At 43.9% G+C, this 20,469-nt stretch overlaps 1 protein-coding gene across 33 annotated transcripts in view, besides 3 other annotated features; it reads right to left on the reverse strand.

The window, feature by feature from the left end:
* DLGAP1 (DLG associated protein 1) overlaps window positions 1–20,469 on the reverse strand; it is a 959,276-nt gene that overhangs the window by 19,847 nt on the left and 918,960 nt on the right. For all 33 annotated transcript variants that reach the window (NM_001398527.1, NM_001398526.1, NM_004746.4 and 30 more), the window contains one exon: window positions 18,316–18,737. In NM_001398527.1, the coding sequence (NP_001385456.1) occupies window positions 18,316–18,737 (422 nt within the window). The remainder of the gene's footprint in view (window positions 1–18,315; window positions 18,738–20,469) is intronic.
* Window positions 10,285–11,029: an enhancer, noted in NCBI's record as "NANOG-H3K27ac-H3K4me1 hESC enhancer chr18:3526161-3526905 (GRCh37/hg19 assembly coordinates)". NCBI's record gives its function as "activates a minimal SCP1, AML or CMV promoter by ChIP-STARR-seq in primed H9 embryonic stem cells {active_cell/tissue: H9 hESC(primed)}" and the evidence as "EXISTENCE:reporter gene assay evidence [ECO:0000049][PMID:30033119]".
* Window positions 10,285–11,087: a biological region, named in NCBI's record as "Sharpr-MPRA regulatory region 485".
* Window positions 10,793–11,087: a silencer, noted in NCBI's record as "tiled region #485; HepG2 Repressive DNase unmatched - State 9:DNaseU, and K562 Repressive DNase unmatched - State 5:Enh". NCBI's record gives its function as "represses a minimal TATA promoter and a strong SV40 promoter by Sharpr-MPRA in HepG2 and K562 cells {active_cell/tissue: HepG2 | K562}" and the evidence as "EXISTENCE:reporter gene assay evidence [ECO:0000049][PMID:27701403]".

Below are 20,469 nucleotides of genomic sequence, written 5' to 3' on the forward strand. Positions count from 1 at the left end.
TCAACAGTGTTCGCAGCATCTTCACCAAGAGTAGATTCCATCTCAAGAAACTACTTTCTTGGCTCATCCATAAGAAGTAACTACTCCTCTGTTCAAGTTTGATCATGAAATTATAGCAATTCAGTCACATTTACAGGCTTCACTTCGCATTCTAGTTCTCTTGCACTTTTTACCACATCTGCAGTTTCTTCCTCCACTGAAGTCTTGAACCCCTCAGTCATCCACGAAGGTTGGAATCAACCTCTAAACTCCTGCTAATGTTGATATTTTGACCTTTTCCCATGAATCATAAATGTTCTTAATGGCGTCTAGAATGGTGATTCCTTTCCAGAAGTTTTTCTTTTTTTTTTAATTTTTAAATTATTTTTTCAAATTTTTTTGGGTGCACGGTGTATAAATTTATGGGGTACAGGAGATGTTTTGATACAGGCATGCACTGTGAAGTAAGCACATCATGGAGAATGGGGTATCCATCCCCTCAAGCAATCCCCTCAAGCATTTATCCTTTGGATTACAAATAATCCTCCAGAAGGTTTTCAATGGACTTTGCCCAGGTCCATCAGAGGACTCACTATCTATGGCAGATATAGCCTTATGGAATGTATTTTTAACTAAGAAGACTTGCAAGTCCAAATGACTCTTTGATCCGTAGGCTGTGGAATGGATGTCGTATTCCTCTGTTTTCACGCTACTGATAAAGACATACCTGAGACTAGGTAATTCATAAAACAGCGATGCTTAATGGACTCACAGTTCCACATGGCTGGGGAGGCTTCAGTCATGGTGGAAGATGAAAGGCACGTCTTACATGGTGGTAGACAAGAGAGAATGATGATAGACAAGCGAAAGGGGAAACGCCTTATAAAATCATCAGATCTCATAAGACTTATTCACTACCATGAGAACAGTATAGGGGAACCACCCCCATGATTTAATCATCTCCCATCAGGTCCCTCCCACAACATATGGGAATTATGGAGGCTACAGTTCAAGATGAGATTTGGATGGGGACACAGCCAAACCAAATCAGATGTCATGTTTGCAGGCATGAAAACAACTTTCATCTCCATGTACATCTCTATCAGAGCTCTTGGTTGACTAGGTGCATTGTCAGTGAGCAGCAATATTTTGGAAGAAATCTTTTTTTCTGAGCCATAGGTCTCAACAGTAGGCTTAAAGTGTACAGTAAACCATGCTGTGAATAGAGATACTCTCATCTAGGCTCTGTTGTTCTACTTATAGAGCACACTTTATAAGAGCACACAAATTTAGCATAATTTTTAAGGGCCGTAGGCTTTTCAGAATGGTAAATGAGCTTTGGCTTCGACTTCAAGTCACCAGGTGCCTGAGCCCCTAACAAGAGAGTGAGCCTGTCCTTTGAAGCTATGAAAGACCTACATGGCATCTCCTGCCAATAGAAGGCTGTTTTGTCTACATTGAAAATCTGTTGTTTAGTGTAATCATCTTCATCAATGATCTTAGCTAGATCTTCTGGATAACTTACTGCAGCTTCTCCATCATCACTAGGAATTCACCTTGCATTATATTACAGAGACAGTTTCTTTCTTTAAACTCCATGAACCAACGATTGCTAGCTTCAAACTTTTCTTCTTCAGCTTCCTCACCTCTCTCAGCTTTCATAGAATTGAAGAGAGTTGGCCGGGCGCGGTGGCTCATGCCTGTAATCCCAGCACTTTGGGAGGCTGAGGCGGGTGGGTTACCTGAGGTCAGGAGGTCGAGACAAGCCTGACCAACATGGTGAAACCAAGTCTCTACTAAAAATACAAAATTAGTCAGGCACGGTGGCGCATGCCTGTAATCCCAGCTACTCAGGAGGCTGAGGCAGGAGAATCACTTGAACCCGGGAGGCAGAGGTTGCAGTGAGCCGAGATCGTGCCATTGCACTCCAGCCTGGGCAACAAGAGAGAAACTCTGTCTCGGAAAAAAAAAAAAAAGAAGAGAGTCACAATGTGTCTCTGATTAAGCTTTGGCTTAAGGGAATGTTGTGCCTGGTTTGTTCTTCTCTCCAGACCACTCAAACTTCATCCATATCAACAAAAAGGCTGTTTCGCTTCCTTATCATTTGTATGTTCACTTGGGTAGCACTTTTCATTTCCTTCAAGAAGTTTTCCTTTGTATTCACAACTTGGCTATCTGGCACAAAAAGCCTAGCTTCTGGCTTATTTTGACTTTTGACATGCCTTCCTAACTAAGCTTAATCATTTATTGCTTTTGATTAAAAGTGACAGATTGTAACTCTTCATTTGAACACATAGAGGCCATTATTGGGTTATTAATTGGCCTAATTTGAATATTATTGTGACTCAAGGCATAGGAAGGCCTGAGGAGAGGGAGAGAGATGGGAATGGCAGGTCGGTGGAGCAGTCAGAACATAAACACCATTTATTGATTAAGTTCACAGTCTTATATGGGCACGGTTCATGGAGCTCCAAAACAATTACAATAGTAACATCAAGGATCACTGATCACAAATCACCATAGCAGATAGAATAATAATGAAAACACTTGAAATATTGTGAGAATTACCAAAGTCTGACACAAAAACAGAAAATGAGCATATGCTTTTGAAAAGATGGTGCTGGTAGACTTGGTCAACTCAGGGTTGCCACAAACCTTCAATTTGTTTAAAAAAAAAAAAAAGCAGTGTCTTCAAAGTGCAATAAAGCAATGCCAATAAAATGAGGTACACCTGTGTGTGGGAAAAAGTGTAGGTGTGGGGTCAGGAACAATCAGCTCACCAATTACCAGCTATTGATCTTGGGAAAGTTGATCAGACTCAGACTCTTTTTCCTTTAATGGCCATAATATCATCTCCATAGCATTGCTGATTACTTAATGGAATAATATAGGTAAACGTGAGAATGCAGTAGGAATTCTAACTCCTATAACTGATCTACATTCTTTAGTTCTTGGGCATTTACCTAAAAGGTGGCAGTATCCAAAAAAGGACATGATTTCTCCTGCAAATCTTCACACTCCAACCTCCCTCCCCAGTAGTGTGGACTAATTTGATGTCCTTTTTTGCTGACTTTAATTCAGGCAGATTTTCACAAGTGTCACTGATTGGTGAATAATTTCTTTTTTTATGAGTATAAGAAATCCATAACAATTTTTCAGGGGCTCAGATTTTAGTGCCTCTCTGTATAATCTAGCACAGTTTCCCCCAGCCATCAGAGCTAGAACAGTGGCCAACTGGCTGCTGGGTGACAGACACACAGAGGAGACAGGACCTTAAAGCACACTGGACATTCAATCAGAGCCTTGCTCGGAAAACAGACTCACTGCAAAACGAAGGGTCAGAGCCCACCTTAAGAATGGCAGCTTCTATGGCAAAACAAGGTCCACCTTCAGGTACAGAGATGATGGCAGATAAACCCCACTAGCCTGTACAGCTATAGTCCCATCGTATTTTCCAGATTGTGCTTAGCCATGTGACTTGATGACACCATAAACCAATGGTCCCCAAACTTGGCTGATCCTTCACTGCTGCCCGTTAGTCCTTTGCAATGTATTTGGTTACCTCCCTCTCTAACTCTAATTTCCTGAATCTTATCCATTCTCAACTCAACCCCTATTCCCTCATCTTCAACAACCTTGCCTCCTATGAGATGAAAATGGAGGGAATCAGGCATGAACACTGCTGTGATTTGGATGATAGTGTCTCCTCCAAAATATATGTTGAAACTGAATCCCCAAGGCAATAACAATAAGCGGTGGGGCATTAGGAGGTGATTAAGTCATGAGAGCTCGGCTGTCCTGAATGAGGTTAGTGCCTTTATTAAAGGACTCAAGGTTGAAGGGACCGCCTCTTGCCCTTCTGACCCTACTGCCATGCAAGGACACAGGGTTTGTCCCCTCTGGAGGATGCAGCAACAGGCCTCATCTTGGAAGCAGAGAGCAGCCCTCACCAGACACACAACCTGCTGGCACCTTGATCTTGGATTTCTCCGCAACTAGAGTAATGAGAAGTAAATTTGTATTATTTAAAAATTACCCAGTCTTGAGCATTAGGACAAATACCTAAAGCATGTGGGGCTTAAAACCTAGATGACAGGTTGATAGGTGTGGCAAACCACCCTGGCACATGTTCACCTATGTAACAAACCTGCACGTTCAGCACATGTATCCCAGAACTTAAAGTAAAATTTAAAAAAAAATTACCCAGTCTTTGGTATTTTGTTGGAGCAACACAAACAAACAAAGACAAATAGTCTTAATGTTCTGTGTCTCTTAATACTCTTCCCCCACCAATTCCCTAAACCTTTCTGCCCCCACCCTAGTGTCTTCTCTACACCCACTATTCCCATCTACGTGTGTCCTTGGTCTGATTCTCTCCCTGCTACCCTGAGGCCTTGCTGTGTGAGCCACTCCCTCTCTCCGAACTCCTTCTGCCAGTGCCTTACCTGAGATGTCTGGCAGCATCCTCAAGTCTTTCCCATTCTAAGTGGGGCAACTCCTCCCAACCTCATGGTCCCCTCCAGCTAACATAAAATTCCTCTTCTCCCCCTGTTATTCGCTGAATTGCATTTTCCTAAAATTTACATGTAGAATTCCTAACCTCCAGTACCTCAGAATGTGACTCTGGAGATAACGTTCTTAAAGAGGTGATTAAATTACAATGAGGTCATTCTCATGGGCCCTAATCCACTACGACTGATGTCCTTATAAGAACTGGAGATGAGAACACAGACACACACACAGAGGGGAGAATCAGGGAAAGGGTGGTGGACTGCAAGCCAAGGAGAGCGACCTGAGGGGAAACCAGCCCCTTGATCTCGAACTTCCAGCCTCCAAAACTGTGAGAAAATTAATTTCTCCTGTTTAAGTGACCTGTTCCATGGGTACTTTATTATGGCAGCCTTAGCAAATTATTACATTCCCTTTAAATCCCCATTCTCCAAAGGGCAGCATGCCTTCGCTCTCGTATTTCTTCTGCTCTCCATTGTCTCCACTCCCTGCAGCCCAGCTGCCTCCACCCTCTTCACCTTCTGGACTCTGCCTTTGGCACAGAGGAAACTCAGATCCCCTGGGTCTCCCAACAACGCTCTCTGGCTGACTCTGCCCTTCCCCGATTCTGCCTTCCCTGTGCTTGGTAGAATTTCTCTCACTCCACCTTGTAAATGTTGAACACAAAATGTAATCCTGAGCTCACTTCTCCACTCACTTCCCTCATTCCACTTTCTCGAATTTGTGACTCCACTGTGTACTGACCCCAGACGCTTTAGAGGAGCATGTGTAACCACTAGCTCAACACCTCCTGTCTCCCCAAATCTGTGTTCCCCTCAGGATTCCCTTGTTGATTACAATTAGGGGTACAAGGCTTGATCAATCCATCCATAGTGTAAATGTTATCCATCCCTTGCCAATCTTGGAGATTGGGTTTCATTAAGGGAACTATAGGGTTTTCTTATCTCATGTAATTCTCATGCTGACAACTTTTCCTTGGTTCCCCTGCTCCATATGATAAGCCCCAGCCCCCTTCAGCAGGGCAGGTGCAGGCCAAGCTGTCCAGTTTCTCTCTGCTGACTCCTTCGGTGCTCCAAGCGCCCACGGCTTCCCAAATCCCCCAAGGTCTTTCTCTCCTGAGTGTCTTCTTCACACCAAGCACTAAGCTGAGACTGTCTCTTCCCTTTGGTGCCCTAGGCAAGCCCCTCTCCCTGTATCTAGCAAAGTCCTCATCCTTATGATTCAGCTTGGGTGCACCTTGCCAGAAAGCCTTACCTCCTTTCACCTCTCCCTCCTCACTGCTCCTAAAATTCCCCTGCATAGCTGTCTCTGCCTTTTCCTCATTCTTTTCAACATGTTCTGTTAATATGTCAGATTTCCGACCAGAATGTGAGCTCTTTGATGGCCTAGACTGTGCCCATGTAACTAACTCCTATTATCTCCACTGAAGGAATATGCTTTGAAATTAACTGAGTTATTTACAGATTCTATATCAACCAGAAAAACAAACTACCTGTGATATTCTGATCCTTGAGCATTCTAATTCTTTAGGGTTTTATCATGTCTAGCACCACTTTTTAATTATAGTGTTGACTAATTAGCTGATATAGTCTTAGCTGGGGTATTATTCCTCTTGCATTGCTGTTTGTCATGCAATAGTTGTAGTGACTAGCCTGGAAAAGTCACACCATCTAGGATAAGTTGAGTTGTGTTTGTGGATGATGAATTATATTTCCTTATATTCAAGTTTTGCCTTTTTTTTTTTACCCACTTGCCTTTTTCTTTCTTGCTTTTTTTTTTTTTTTTTTTAGACAGAGTTTCACGCTTGTTGCCCAGGCTGGAGTGCAATAGTACCATGTCGGCTCACTGCAACCTCCGCCTCCCGGATTCAAGTGATTCTCCTGCCTCAGCCTCCCGAGTAGCTGGGATTACATGCGCGTGCCACCACGCCCAGCTAATTTTTGTATTTTTAGTAGAGACGGGGTTTCACCATCTTGGTCAGGCTGGTCTCAAAGTCCTGACCTCAAGTGATCTGCCCACCTCAGCCTCTCAAAGTGCTGGGATTACAGGTGTGAGCCGCTGTACTCGGCCTCCCACCTAGCTTTTTCCCCCAATGTTGTAGACTTTAGGGGTGAAGAAAGAGAAAGGGAATTTTAAAAGTGGGTCTATCCACTTACTTTAAAGACACGTGCAGTCAACTCTTTTTTTTTTTTTTTTTTGGAGACCTCATTCTGTCGCCCAGGCTGCAGTGAAGTGGCCCAATCTCGGCTAACTGCAACCTCCGCCTTCCGGGTTCAGGCAATTCTCCCACCTCAGCTTCCCAAGTAGCTGGGACTATAGGGGCCCACCACCACTCCTGGCTATTTTTTGTATTTTTAGTAGAGACGGGGTTTCACCATGTTGGCCAGGTTGGTCTCAAACCCATGACCTCAGATGATCTGCCCACCTCGGCCTTCCAAAGAGCTGGGATTATAGGTGTAAACCACTGCACCCAGCTGCAGTCAACTAATTTTTGACAAGGGCACCAAGAGGATACAATGGGAAAAGGATAGCCTAAGTGTAGGACCAGAAACCACACAACTCCCAGAAGAAAACGGAAGGGAAAGGTTCCTCAACATTAGCCTTGGCAATAATGTTTTGGATATCACAACAAAAGATCAGGCTACAAAAGCAAAAATAAATAAATGAGACTGTGTAAAATGAAAAAGCTCCTGTTATCAAAGGAAACACTCAGCAAAATAAAAAGGCCAGGCACAGTGGCTCACGCCTGTAATCCCAGCACTTTGGGACGCTGAGGTAGGTGGATCACTTGAGGTCAGCAGTTCAAGACCAGCCTGGCCAACATGGTGAAACTCCGTCTCTACTAAAAAATACAAAAAAATTTAGCCGGGCATGGTGGTGCATGCCTGTAATCCCAGCTACTCAGGAGGCTGAGGCAGGAGAATCACTTGAACCTGGGAGGCAGAGTTTGCAGTGAGCCAAGATCACACTACCGCACTCCAGCCTGGGCAACAGAGCAAGGCTCCATCTCAAAGAAAAAAAAAAATTAAAAAAAATAAAAATAAAAAGGCATCCTACAACCCGGGAAAAAATATTTGCAAACCACATAACCAATAAGGTTTGCAGACTATAAATCCAAAATTAATGAAGAACTCTTACAACTCAATAGCAAGAAAGCAACTAACCCCAAAAAACTCAATTTAAAAATGGGCAAAGGTCCGACCAGGTGCGGTGGCTCACGCCTGTAATCCCAGCACTTTGGGAGGCCAAGGAGGGCGGATCACGAGGTCAGGAGATCGAGACCATCCTGGCTAACACGGTGAAACCCCGTCTCTACTAAAAATACAAAAAATTAGCCAGGCGTGGTGGCGTGCGCCCGTAGTCCCAGCTACACTGGGAGGCTGAGGCAGGAGAATGGTGTGAACTCAGAAGGCGGAGCTTGCAGTGAGCTGAGATAGCGCCACTGCACTCCAGCCTGGGCGACAGAGCAAGACTCTGTCTCAAAAAAAAAAAAAAGGAGGGCAAAGGTCCTTGACACAGGGTTTGAACAAGACAAAACAAAAACAAACAAACAAAACCAGAAGAAACAAAAATGGGCAAAAGATCTGAACAGACATTTCTCTAAAGGAAACATAACAACAGGCCAGGTGCATTTGCTCTTCTCTGTAATCCCAGCATTTTTGGAGGCCAAGGCAGGAAGAATGTTTGAGCCCAGGTGTTCAAGACCAGCCCAGGCAACATAGTGAGATCTTGTATCCACAAATAAGAATTTTTAAAAAATTAGTTGGGTCTGATGGCACACATCTGTGGTCCCAGCTACTCAGGAGACTGAGGTGGGAGAACTGATTGAGCCTGGGCAGTTAAGTCTGCAGTAAGCTATCATCACACCACTGCACTCCAGCCTTGGTGACAAAGTGAGACCTTGTTTCAATTAAAAAAAAAAGAAAGAAAGAAATTGTGGTATATATATACCACATATATATAGTGAATATTATTCAGCCCTAAAAAAGAAGGAGCTCCTGCCATTTGCCACAACATAGATGGACTGGAGGACCTTATGCTAAGTAAAATTATCTTGTATTAGGGCGTCTTGTGGAATAAGTAGACTTTAGCTGCTCTTTCACAAAAAAAGTAACTATGTGAGATGACAGATATGTTAATTTGCTTCATAATAGTCACCAACTTACTTTCTATCTGTATTCAATAGCATATAAACCTCAAATATACACAAAATTTATTTCAAAAATATCGAGTCAGGTAGGCACAGTGGCTCTTGCCTATAATCCCAGCACTTTGAGTGGCTGAGGCAGGCAGATCGCTTGAACCTAGGAGTTCAAGACCAGACTGGGTAACATTGTGAGACCCTGTCTCAATAAATAAATAAATGAAAGTCATGTGGATTTGTCATTCTGAGTCTGTGTGATTTCATGGCATTGGGATTATCCATGTGGAGACATTCTCATTTACGAGTGTGTCCTTGCGGCAAAAATTTCCCCAACCTACTGCCCAGCAGCTGCTTCTCAGACACACTTGTGATCCGGAGCTGCCATCAACAAAACGTCTCCATAGAAAACGTGGATCTGTTTCATTCCTGACTGGCAGTTGCTGATCTGCATTGCACAACAGTGCTTTTTTTGTTTTGTTTTGTTTTTAGCTGAAACTTGGTGGCTAATGAATAAAGAATGGATTCTCTAGTAGAAGTTTTCCCATAGACTAACACCAGAGTTTCCACAGTGTTCTGGGGGAAAAAAAAAAAAATCAACAACATTATTTTGTTTTTAAAGAGCAAGTTTTTCAAAAACTCAGCTAATTTTAATTTTTTTTTCCCAGTTCCAACCCCTCCAGGAGCCTTACTCGTAGAAGATGGTCATTCTTTGGATCAATATCTTGACTTATATCAGCCACGAAATGGTAGCATCATATACATCATATAGATAAAGACAGTTTTGAGCCTTTGAAAGTTGGATGAAATGAAATTAGTTTCTATTTCCCTAGGTAATCTAAATGAAAAAAACTGTATATTTTATTTGAAGTCCATTGCATTTATTGCATTTATTTTTTAATTTATTTTCGACATGGAGTTTTGCTCTGTCACCCAGGCTGGAGTGCAGTGGCGTGATCTCGGCTCACTGCAACCTCCACCTCCTGGGTTCAAGCAGTTCTCCTTCCTCAGCCTCCCGAGTAGCTGGGATTACATGCATGCACCACCAAGCCCAGCTAATTTTTGTATTTTTAGTAGAGACGGAGTTTCAACCATGTTGGCCAGGCTGGTCTCCAACTCCTGACCTCGTGATCTGCCTGCCTCGGCCTCCCAAAGTGCTGGGATTATAGGCATGAGCCACTGCGCCCCACCAGTCCATTGCATTTATATTTCACAGAAACAGTTATTGGAGAAAATGATAGGAGGTCTTGCTCCGTGAGCCAGTCCCTCTCTTTGCCATCTCTGGAATGACAGAAACACCACTGGCCTAGGAACAGATCTGTTTCCAGGCCCAGTTCTGCCCCCAATTAACCACATCACTTCACCTCTTCATGCTTTCGTGCCCTCCTGAGCTGGGAGACACCACCCTCAAGAAGCACATCCACAAAAGGATGGTGTCTAATGGCCTTCTGGCACCAGCGCTGTGCAAAGCGGCATGAATGGAGCATTCTCAAGGTTAAACATATGGCACATTACAGCCGATTTCCTTTTCATTACTGCCACTTCCTCTGCGGTCACTAATTTCAGGTTGTCTGGAGCTTACAAAAAGAGACATGCAAGTATGTGTGTCTGTGTGTGTGGTGGAGTGGGAGGGACCTTTTGAGGGTTCATTGCAAGAGTTAGATGAGAATAAAACAGAAAGGAGCTAGGCTAGAATGCAGCCATTGCTCCCCACTTAGAAACACACACGGGCTGGAGGCAGATGAATTGCAGAACTCACAGATACAGCTTTGTCTGCCACCCACTGTTTCACAGGCCGCAGAGACACAGCAGAGGCAATCCCAGGCGGATAAACCCTGGGTGATGGCACCGATAGACCATCACAATGACTGTGCACAGTTTCCGTAACCAAACCTGAAACCAGGCAAACCCCATTTCAGGTGTCATTACCAGCCCCGCATTCGCTGCCAAGGGTCCCAAGCCTTCTAGGGGACTGAAGGCCAAGTTTCACTAGCTTGGATGCTATTACCAGGCAAAATTAAAGTGGAAGAATTAATCTGCCTCCGGCACATGCTCTAGGTTTATCAGTTTGTTTCAGATAAAGCCTGAAAATTCCACGTATTTGTTGTCTACAATTCAGAAGGCAAAGACAGATTTAGAAGTACAATCACCGGTATTTCATCTTAGGGCCATTGAAACCTGAGCCTATGTTCTTTCCCCACAGTGGTAGACTGCATTCCTAGTTGGAGGCATTCAGCTCCATCTGGTCGTTTCATCCCCGGTTAGATAATACCAGACGTATCTATGTAACATACAAGCCACTGTCAAATAGCACTGAGCCATCTCCCTGAGACAGCTGTTTCACACAAGGGCTTCATTGTCTGAGAAGAGCTCGTATCATTTTACTTCAAGTGCTGCGGGAACAAGCATTCTGTCAGCTGTCTTGGCTTGGAGGAAACCTCACTCACTGCAGTTTCATTATTTTATTATCAAGCCAAAAAAAAAAAGGTACTGTCGACGGTTGGGGTTGAAGGTTTAAAACAAGAACTAAAGTCTTTGCTCTGCTTTGCATTTATCAGGGAAAACAGTAACTCCAGGCACCCAAAGAATGTATAGTTACACTGTTCAAAAGATAGCTTGAGGCTCCTGGCTACTCCAAATGCTTGTTTTCGGTCTGCCTTTTGTTACCCACATTTAGTCAGTTTCAGGTGAACTAGGAAGGTGTTTTCCAGCCCTGTGAGGCCAAAAGCAGCTGTCACAATTAGCATAATGACATCACAAAATAATTAATAACTAAATAACTATTTAAAATTAGATAGACTCTTTCTTCTTCAACTCTCTAATAGAGAAAGATGATTACAACTACCCCACATGCAATATCTGAACCTCAAATTTCCAGTGAGTAAACAGGTTATTTTCCAAACTTTTTTTTTTTTTTTTTTTTTTGCCATGGATGCACTGTATTTTGAATTCAGGGAGTCAATTAACAAAATACATTCTTACATGAATATGAACATGAACATGGTTGTTCTGCTTATCTTTAGCTGCTGCTGCCTATTTCTGAGTTTTTGTTTTTTTAGTTTTTTTTGTTTTGTTTTGTGTTTGTTGTTTTTTGTTTGTTTGAGACAGAGTCTCCCTCTGTCTCCCAGGCTGGAGTGCAGTGGCACGATCACGGCTCACTGTAGCCTCGACCTCCTGGGCTCAAGCAATGCTCTCACCTCAGCCTCATGAGTAGCTGGGACCACAGGTGCATGCCACCAAGCCTGCCTAATTAAAAAAATATATATTTTTGTAGAGATAGGGTCTCTGTTGCCCAGGCCAATCTTGGACTCCTGGGCTCAAGCGATCCTCATGGCATGGCCTCCCAAAGTTCTGGGATTACAGGCAGGAGCCACCACGCCCAGTGGGGGTATTTTAAAATTGTGATAAAATAGACATAAGATTTGCCATTTTAACCACAGTGAAGTGTACCATTCGGAGGCATTATGTACATTCACCAAACATTTTAAAATATTTAAAAATTGGGATAATTCTGGTACCCCACAAAATAAATTGCGTGATTAGAATCTTCCGTTTTTTCCCTCTATCCTATTTATCTTTTCATGATGACTTCAAGACCAGATCTCCTGGGGGGATTTTGTTATGGCACCACGTTTGTCAGGCACCCTGAAGAGAGGCCCTCCTTCTGCAGGTCTGAAACATCCCTTGGCTTGGCCAAGGGATAGAGGTATCTGTACTTGACCCATTTATCGAAGCTATTTTTCTGGTGTGCACAGAATTAAAACAAACAAAAGCTGGTTGCTTAGAATTTGGCTATGCCTGCCAAGTGGGATTGGCCTCTCTTCCTTACCGCCCCTCTTACAAAAAAAGAAAAGGTTAAGTCAGAGAATTGGTGAAACAAAGGCCCTCTGCAACTCTAGGCCCAGTTATCAGAACAGAGTGGTGCTTGCCAAGGAGTCAGGGACAGATCTGCATGGCGGGCTTTAAGGAGGACAGTGCCAGGCAACGCAAAGTATCATTATCTTGTCAAATGTTATTCATGTGTATCTGTTCTATCAGACACTTCTGTTTTCTGTGACCTTGGACAAGATACTGCCAGAGAACTGTTGTGAGGGCAAATAAAACAGCACCTGTCAAAGTCTCTAGGCCATCGTCAGGGGTATTGTGAGGGCAAGATGAATATTCTTTCATGCACTGATATTTTCCCTTCTTCCTGGAGAGGGTTGCTACTGCTTTATGGTCCAATTCTCCCTGATCTGGATTGGCCGCATTTGAAATTGGTGACTCTGTCCTGGGCGCAGGGTTTGCCACGGCACTGACTAGAATTTTGGAATCCCAGTAGTTTGAAGCTCCTATTTCGTGTCTCTCAAAGTATGAAAAAATAGAGAAAGCCTTCAAGTGTTTGTGGAATGGAACTGTGTCTTAAGAATGAGACAGGACACACAAGGTTCATCTGGACTAGCCACCTGTCCCACACGGAAGTGCTTTCCATCACTTCTGTGGCAGGTGCCCATCTCTCTCTTCCACATCCTTGTCCTGATCAGAAGAGCTCATCATCTGTCACGGGAACACCTTTCCAGCTTTTGGCAACAAGAACTGTTAGTTACTTGCTATGGTCTGAATGTCTGTGCTCCTCTAAAACTCATATGTTGAAACCTAATTACCAATGTATAAATAGTAAGACAGGGGGCCTATAGGAGGTGAGTTGGTCACAGGGGCAGAGTCCTCATGAATAGGGTTACTACGCTTATCAAGGAGGCCCAGGAAGCTTGTCTGCTGCCTCCATCGTGAGGCTGCAGCAAGAAGGCGCCATCTTTGAAACAGAGAGCAGCCCTTGCCAGACACCAAACCTGCCAGTATCTTAATCTTGAACTTCCCAGCCTCCAGAACTGTGAGCAATAAATTTCTATTGTTTATAAATTACCCAGTCTAGGGTATTTTGTTATAGCAGCCTGAAAGGACTGAGGTATTACTTATTGAAGTTTTTTTTTAGCTAATTAGGAAGAAAGGTTTTGCTAAGTAAAATACTTTTATAAAACAGAATTTCCAGAATATTTCAAGGACTCAAATACATATTTACTGATCCCCTGTTATGCGTCAGAGGGTCTGGTGATATGAAGATGAGTAAGACAAGAATAATTTCTGTTTTCAGAAAGCTTACTTTTTAGTGGAAGAGAAAGATACATCGGTTATTATAAAATAATGTGGGAAGTACCTGAAGGACAAATACACAGGGCATTACAGGAGCACCAGGGCGATACCCAGTTCAGCTTGAACAACAAATTAGGCCTGGAACAACAGATGGTTGGGCAGTTCCCTCATGTTCATTATCTTGGGACTTTGCCAGCAGTGTACATTTCAAAATACAAATACGTTTCTCTTTCATCCTGAACATAGGCTGAGAAGCTGGTTTTCTGACAAGATTTTCAACCTTTCAAATATATGTTATTGTATTACAATACAACTGACTTGTTTTCCTAGCTCCTTTAGTTTTTCCTAAATCTTTATACAATGAGTATCCTCACACATCATTATAGAGTTGGGTTGAGAGAGGTAGATCAAGTCTCAGACTGAAAGGCCCATTAAAAGAAAACAACAGATAAGTAGTTTCCAAGAGTCCTGTTGAAAGCCAGCCAGGAGCTGGGTGGGTGGCTCATGCCTGTAATTCTGGCATTTTGGGAGGCAGAAGTGGGGGGATTGCTTGAGGCCAGGAGTTTGAGATCAGCCTGGGCAACACAGTGAGAATCTATCTCTATAAAATTTTTTAAAAATTAGCCAGGCATGGTGGTGCACACCTGTAGTGACAGCTCCTCATGAGGCTGAGGTGGGAGGATCACTTGGGCCCAGGACGTCCAGGCTACAGTGAGCTATGATCCCATCACTGCACTCCAGCCTGGGTCACAGGGCAAGACTCTGCCAAAAGAAAGAAAAGAAAACCAAAGAAAGGAGGGAAGAAAAAGAAAGAAAGAGAGAGAGAGAACACCAATCAGGAAGCTAGAAGGAGAACCAAATTTGAGAATTGAAATCTGAAAGTTTGTGCCATTGAGCAGTGGCACGGGATGTCATTGTTCCTTAGTTGCTGGCATTTTTCCTAGGAAAATCTGATAAACTGTGAGTATGTCCACAAGGAGAAAAGTGAATAAGATGATCCAACTAAGACTTTCTTACTGAAAACTACCCCTGCTCCCACTGCTGCTGAGACATACCTTGTTTACCTGTCACCAGGGCAAAGACCTAATTGTGCTTGGGGGTCAACACTCAGGTGAGTCTGCAGTGGCACTAACAGGGGCAAATGTCAAGGAGATTTACTTTTCCACTGCCAAGTTGTTTGCACTCATAATATGAAGAAGCAAAGGAAACCCATTTATGGGTTTTACAGAAACCCGTTAATGAATTTCCTAACTTGCCCATAAAGGCAAGCGATAAGCTAGTCAGTCATTTGACAGGGGTCAGGCAGGAGGAGCAGACTGGAGCTGTGAGTGAGAGAGTGGACACAGTGAAGATATCCCCAGTCTGATGACAACTGTTATTTTCCAGACTCCATTTCATTAAAAAAATGATTCCCCTAGGGAAAAACTCACTACTCTTTGACACCACTAGTTTGGTGCATTTAGTAAATGCACTTAACATGATTTATAGTAGATGTTAAATCTAATTAAGAAATTATTGGCCGGGCGCTGTGGCTCACCCCTGTAATCTCAGCACTTTGGGAGGCCGAGACGGGTGGATCACCTGAGGTCAGGAGTTCAAGACCAGACTGGCCAACATGGTGAAACCCCGTCTCTACTAAAAATACAAAAATTAGCTTGGCATGGTGGCAGGTGCCTGTAATCCCAGCTACTCAGGAGGCTGAGGCAGGAGAATCACTTGAACCCAGGAGACAGAGGTTGCAGTGAGCCAAAATCAGGCCATTGCACTCCAGCCTGGGTGACAAGAGCAAGACTCTGTCTTTTAAAAAAAAAATTATTGTTTTTGTTACGTACGATAATGCATGATAATATTTTACCTTTTTTTGAGTCGGAGTCTCACTCTGTCACCCAGGCTGGAGTGCAGTAGCTGCGATCTCTGTTCACCGCAAACTCAATCTCACGGGTTCAAGCCATTCTCTGCCTCAGCCTCCCGAGTAGCTGGGATCACAGGGGCCAATCTCCACACCCGACTAATTTTTGTATTTTTACGAGAGATGGGGTTTTACCATGTTGGCCAGGCTGGTCTAGAACTCCTGACCTCAAGTGATCTACCCGCCTCAGCCTCCCAAAGTGCTAGGATTATAGGCATGAGCCACCGCACAAGGCCTATGATTATACATATAAAAAATGTTTTCTATAAGTGTGAGCTACATAGGGAAGTGACACGATGCCTTGGATTTTCTTTTTTTCTTTTTTTGGAGACAGAGTTTCACTCTGTTGCCTAGGCTAGAGTGCAGTGGCACAGTCTCAGCTTGCCGCAACCTCTGCCTCTGGGTTTAAGCAATTCTCCTGCCTCAGCCTCCTAAGTAGCTGGGATTACAGGCGTGTGCCATTGCACCTGGCTAATTTTTGTATTTTTAATAGAAATGGTGTTTCACCATATTGGCTATGCTGGTCTTGAACTCCTGACCTCAAGCGATCCTCCTGCCTTGGCCTCCCAAAGTGCTGGGATTACAGGTATGAGCCACCACACCTGGTGCTGGATTTTCTTAAAAATACTCTGACAACAATAACTACAAATGGTGGAGACAAGACTGGCCAGTTGTTGAAGCAGGTGACGAGTACATGGGGACTCATCATGTTAAACTCTACTTTTGTGCATGTTTAAAAATGTTCATAATAGGCCGGGCACAGTGGCTTATGCCTGTAATCCCAGCACTTTGGGAGGCCGAGGCGGGTGGATCACCTGAGCTCAGGAGTTCAAGACCAGCCTGACCAACATGGTGAAACCCCGTCTCTACTAAAAATACCAAAGTAGCTGGGTGTGGTGGCACATGCCTGTAATCCCAGCTACCTGGAGGCTGAGGCAGGAGAATCACTTGAACCCTGGAGGCAGACGTTGCGGTGAGCCAAGATGGCACCATTGCACTCCAGCCTGGGCAACAAGACCAAAACTCCATCTCAAAAAAAAAAAAGAAAAAAAAAGAAAAAGCTCATAATAAAAATTGAAAAAGTAATTTAAAAAACAAGTCTAAAAAGTTACTTCATAGCAATACTCTTTTAGATGCTTTGCACACAGACATGAAGCAGGCATTAATGCCTACCACCAAATTTCCTTGTTTCAAAAATATCATCAGTTGGAGGATCCACCATTAATTTAATAATAATGTTTCAGAGGAAAATAAACATACAACATTAAAATACATACTGATTATATATAAGCTACATTCTAATTTCAGAATTGTTGAAAACATGTAAAACATGCCTCAGAATTGAGGTAATTTGATTATTTTTCTTTTTCAACTGTTAATATAATTTGACAATTTTTCTTTTTCAATTGTTAATTTTTCTTTTTCAAATGTTAAAAGGTCAAGTTTGAAAATAATAGTGTGCAGGCTAGGCACGGTGGCTCATGCCTGTAATCCCAGCGCTTTGGGAGGCCGAGGTGGGCGGATTGCCTGAGTTCAGTAGTTTGAGACCAGCCTGGGCAACATGGCGAAACCCCGTCTCTACCAAAAATACAAAAATCAGCTGCACATGGGGTGCATGCCTGTAGTCCCAACTACTTGGGAGGTCAAGGCTGGGGTGAGCCATGATTGCGCCACTCCAACTTGGGTGAGGAGTGAGGCCCTGTCTGAAAAAAGAAAGAAAAGAATAGTGTGCGAAAAAGAGTGTCCATTATTTATTTTATGTATTCATCGTGTATTTCACTTTAGCCCATTCAACTGTAATAAGATTATAAAATGTGTTTCTTTGGCAGCTAAAGGGTTTGCCCCTGTAAATCCTAAGAGAAAGTGCCTGTCAAACAGGCTTAAGAATACAAATAGGTGGGGGTTTCTAGCGGCCTATACGTTATAAGCCTTGTTTTAATGCTGTATGTTAATGAGAATAACAAAATCATAAAGAATATAAATCCCCAATGTACCTGTATCTATGGACCTTGAAAAAAGTTAGTATTATTTATATATTTATTTTTAGAGATGGGTTCTTGCTCTGTCACCCAGGCTGGAGTGCAGTGGTGTGATCATAGCTCACTGCAGCCTCTAACCCCTGGACTCAAGTGATCCTTCCACCTCAGTCTCTCGAAGAGCTGGGACTACAGGTGGGCACCACTGCACTGGGCTAGTTAGAATTATTTTCTTTTTTTATTTAAAAAGAATTTTTGTGGGTATATAGTAGATGTATATATTCATAGGATACATGAGATGTTTTGATTAGAATTATTTTCAATCCCCTGAGGATCAGCAACATTCCAGGATCATCTTGGAGAAGAGGGACCAAGTTAGAGACATGAAAGCACCTCCACACAGAGCTTGGTATTTTCAGAAAGAAAAAGAACGTCATGGGCCTAGAGCTAAGGACAGTGTTATATCTACCCAGGAGTTTTCTTGGTTTTGTGCTGTGCAGGGACTTCTGGACTCAGCTGGAATCACCTAGCTCTCCTGCATGTTCTGGTTTGGGGTGTGGAACGTCAAGGTTATACAAGTGAAGCTGGCAGAGAAGAAAACAACAAGGTCTGCACACACAAAGCAACCCCAGCCCCAGGGGACGGGTGTGGCACGTGGTGGCATTACTTACTGTCTTCGGGCAGGTTGTTTTCCCGTTCTTCCCGCTCCATCTGTTGACACCACCCCTCCATGCGGTCTCGCTCTGCCTGGAGAAGCTTCAGGAACCAGTGGCCATCCCGGTGGCACACTGACCTTTGCACGGCCTCCAGAGGGTCTTCAGTGATAGAGTCAATCCAGGGGTCCGGAGGAGGCAGAATAGAGGGGTCAAAATCCGTGTCAAAGTCATCATCGGCGGCACAGGCATGGTAATGGTTTCCTGAGCCCTGAATGCTGACTGTGGAGGTGCTGGCATCGCGGGAGAACTGTCTGGCCATGGGGCCAGGACACGAATTGTCCTCTATAGATTCCAGAGAATTTTCCAGATTATCATGGAAGTCCAGGTCGGCCTGTACTGCTGTCGTCACACTGTTGGATCGAGTGAACCTGCGGAAGCTTGGGAGAATAGAAAAAAGAAATTTAGTTAGAGGATATTTCTTTCTTTCCTTCCTTCCTTCCTTCCTTCCTTTCTTTCTTTTTTTTTTTTTTTTGACAGAGTCTCACTCTGTCTCCCAGGCTGGAGTGCAAGTGGCGTGATCTCGGCTCACAGCAACCTCCACCTCCCAGGTTCAAGCGATTCTCCCACCTCAGCCTCCCGAGTAGCTGAGATTACAGGTGTATGCCACCACATCTGGTTAATTTTTGTATTTTTAGTAGAGAAGGGGTTTCACTGTGTTGAACAGGTGGGTCTCGAACTACTGGCCTCAAGTGATCTGCCTGCCTCTGCCTCCCAAAGTGCTGGGATTACAGGTGTGAGCCACCGTGCCTGGCAAGGATATTTCTTGAAGCAAAACTACTTTCTACTTTACTTGGCAGGTGTGACCATTAGAAGTCTCATCTTCTCAATCTTCTCTGTGTGTGTGTGTGTGTGTGTGTGTGTGTGTGTGTGTGTGTTGGGGGTGGTGGTGGCAGGGGTAGACCCTTGAGGCAAGCATATTGATTGTCATAGCTTCAATGTGAAGAGCACGAATCTCATTTTTGCTCAATATGGAATATTAAAGCATATCAAGAGAAATTTTATAGGTGGAAAAGTGCTGAACTATTAAAGCCAGTAGAATGTGCAGCTCTGTCATCCATTACCTGAAGTGTCCAACTTCCTCCCCAAATCTGGGGTGACTTAAGTCCTGAAATTCAGGTTGGTGATGAGTAAGGAAACTATTCACTACTATCTTAGTCGGGGTAATTTGCTTAGAAATAGGGAAAAAGGGCCGGGCGTGGTGGCTCACGCCCGTAATCCCAGCACTTTGGGAGGCTGAGGCGGGCGGATCACAAGGTCAGGGGATCGAGACCCTCCTGGCTAACACGGTGAAACCCCGTATCTACCAAAAAATATAAAACATTAGTCGGGCGTGGTGGTGGGCACCTGTGGTCCCAGCTACTTGGGAGGCTGAGGCAGGAGAATGGCATGAACCCGGGAGGCGGAGCTTGCAGTGAGCTGAGATCGCACCACTGCACTCTAGCCTGGGTGACAGAGTGAGATTCTGTCTCAAAAAAAAAAAAGAAGAAAAGAAAAAAAGAAATGGGAAGAAAGGCCGTGCGCAGTGGCTCACGCTTGTAATCCCAGCACTTTGGGAGGCCGAGGCGGGCAGATCATCTGAGGTCGGGAGTTCGAGACCAGCCTGACCAACATGGAATAATCCCGTCTCTACTAAAAATACAAAAAAAATTAGCTGGGCGTGGTGGCACATGCCTGTAATCCCAGCTACTCAGGAGGCTGAGGCAGGAGAATCGCTTGAATCCAGGAAACGGAGGTTGTGGTGAACTGAGATCATGCCATTGCACTCCAGCCTGGGCAACTCTGTCTCAAAAAAAGAAAGAAAAGAAAAGAAATGGGAAAAACATAACCTAACCTGGACCAAAACTATCATGAATCCTGCAAAGCCACATTTTTCCAGGGGCAACTCTTACCAAGTTAAGACTTCCTGAAAGCAAACTGAAGTAAGTTTCTTTCTTTCTTTCCTTCCTTCCTTCCTTCTTTCTTTCTTTCCTTTCTTACTTTCTTTCTTTTTTTTTTTTTTTTCTGAGACAGAGTCTTGCTCTGTTGCCCAGGCTGGAGTGCAGTGGCACAACCTCAACTCACTGCAACCTGTGACTCCCTGGTTCAAGCAATTCTCCTGCCTCAGCCTCC

The sequence above is a fragment of the Homo sapiens genome, chromosome 18 (genome assembly GCF_000001405.40).
Source record: "Homo sapiens chromosome 18, GRCh38.p14 Primary Assembly".
Lineage (NCBI taxonomy): Eukaryota > Metazoa > Chordata > Mammalia > Primates > Hominidae > Homo > Homo sapiens.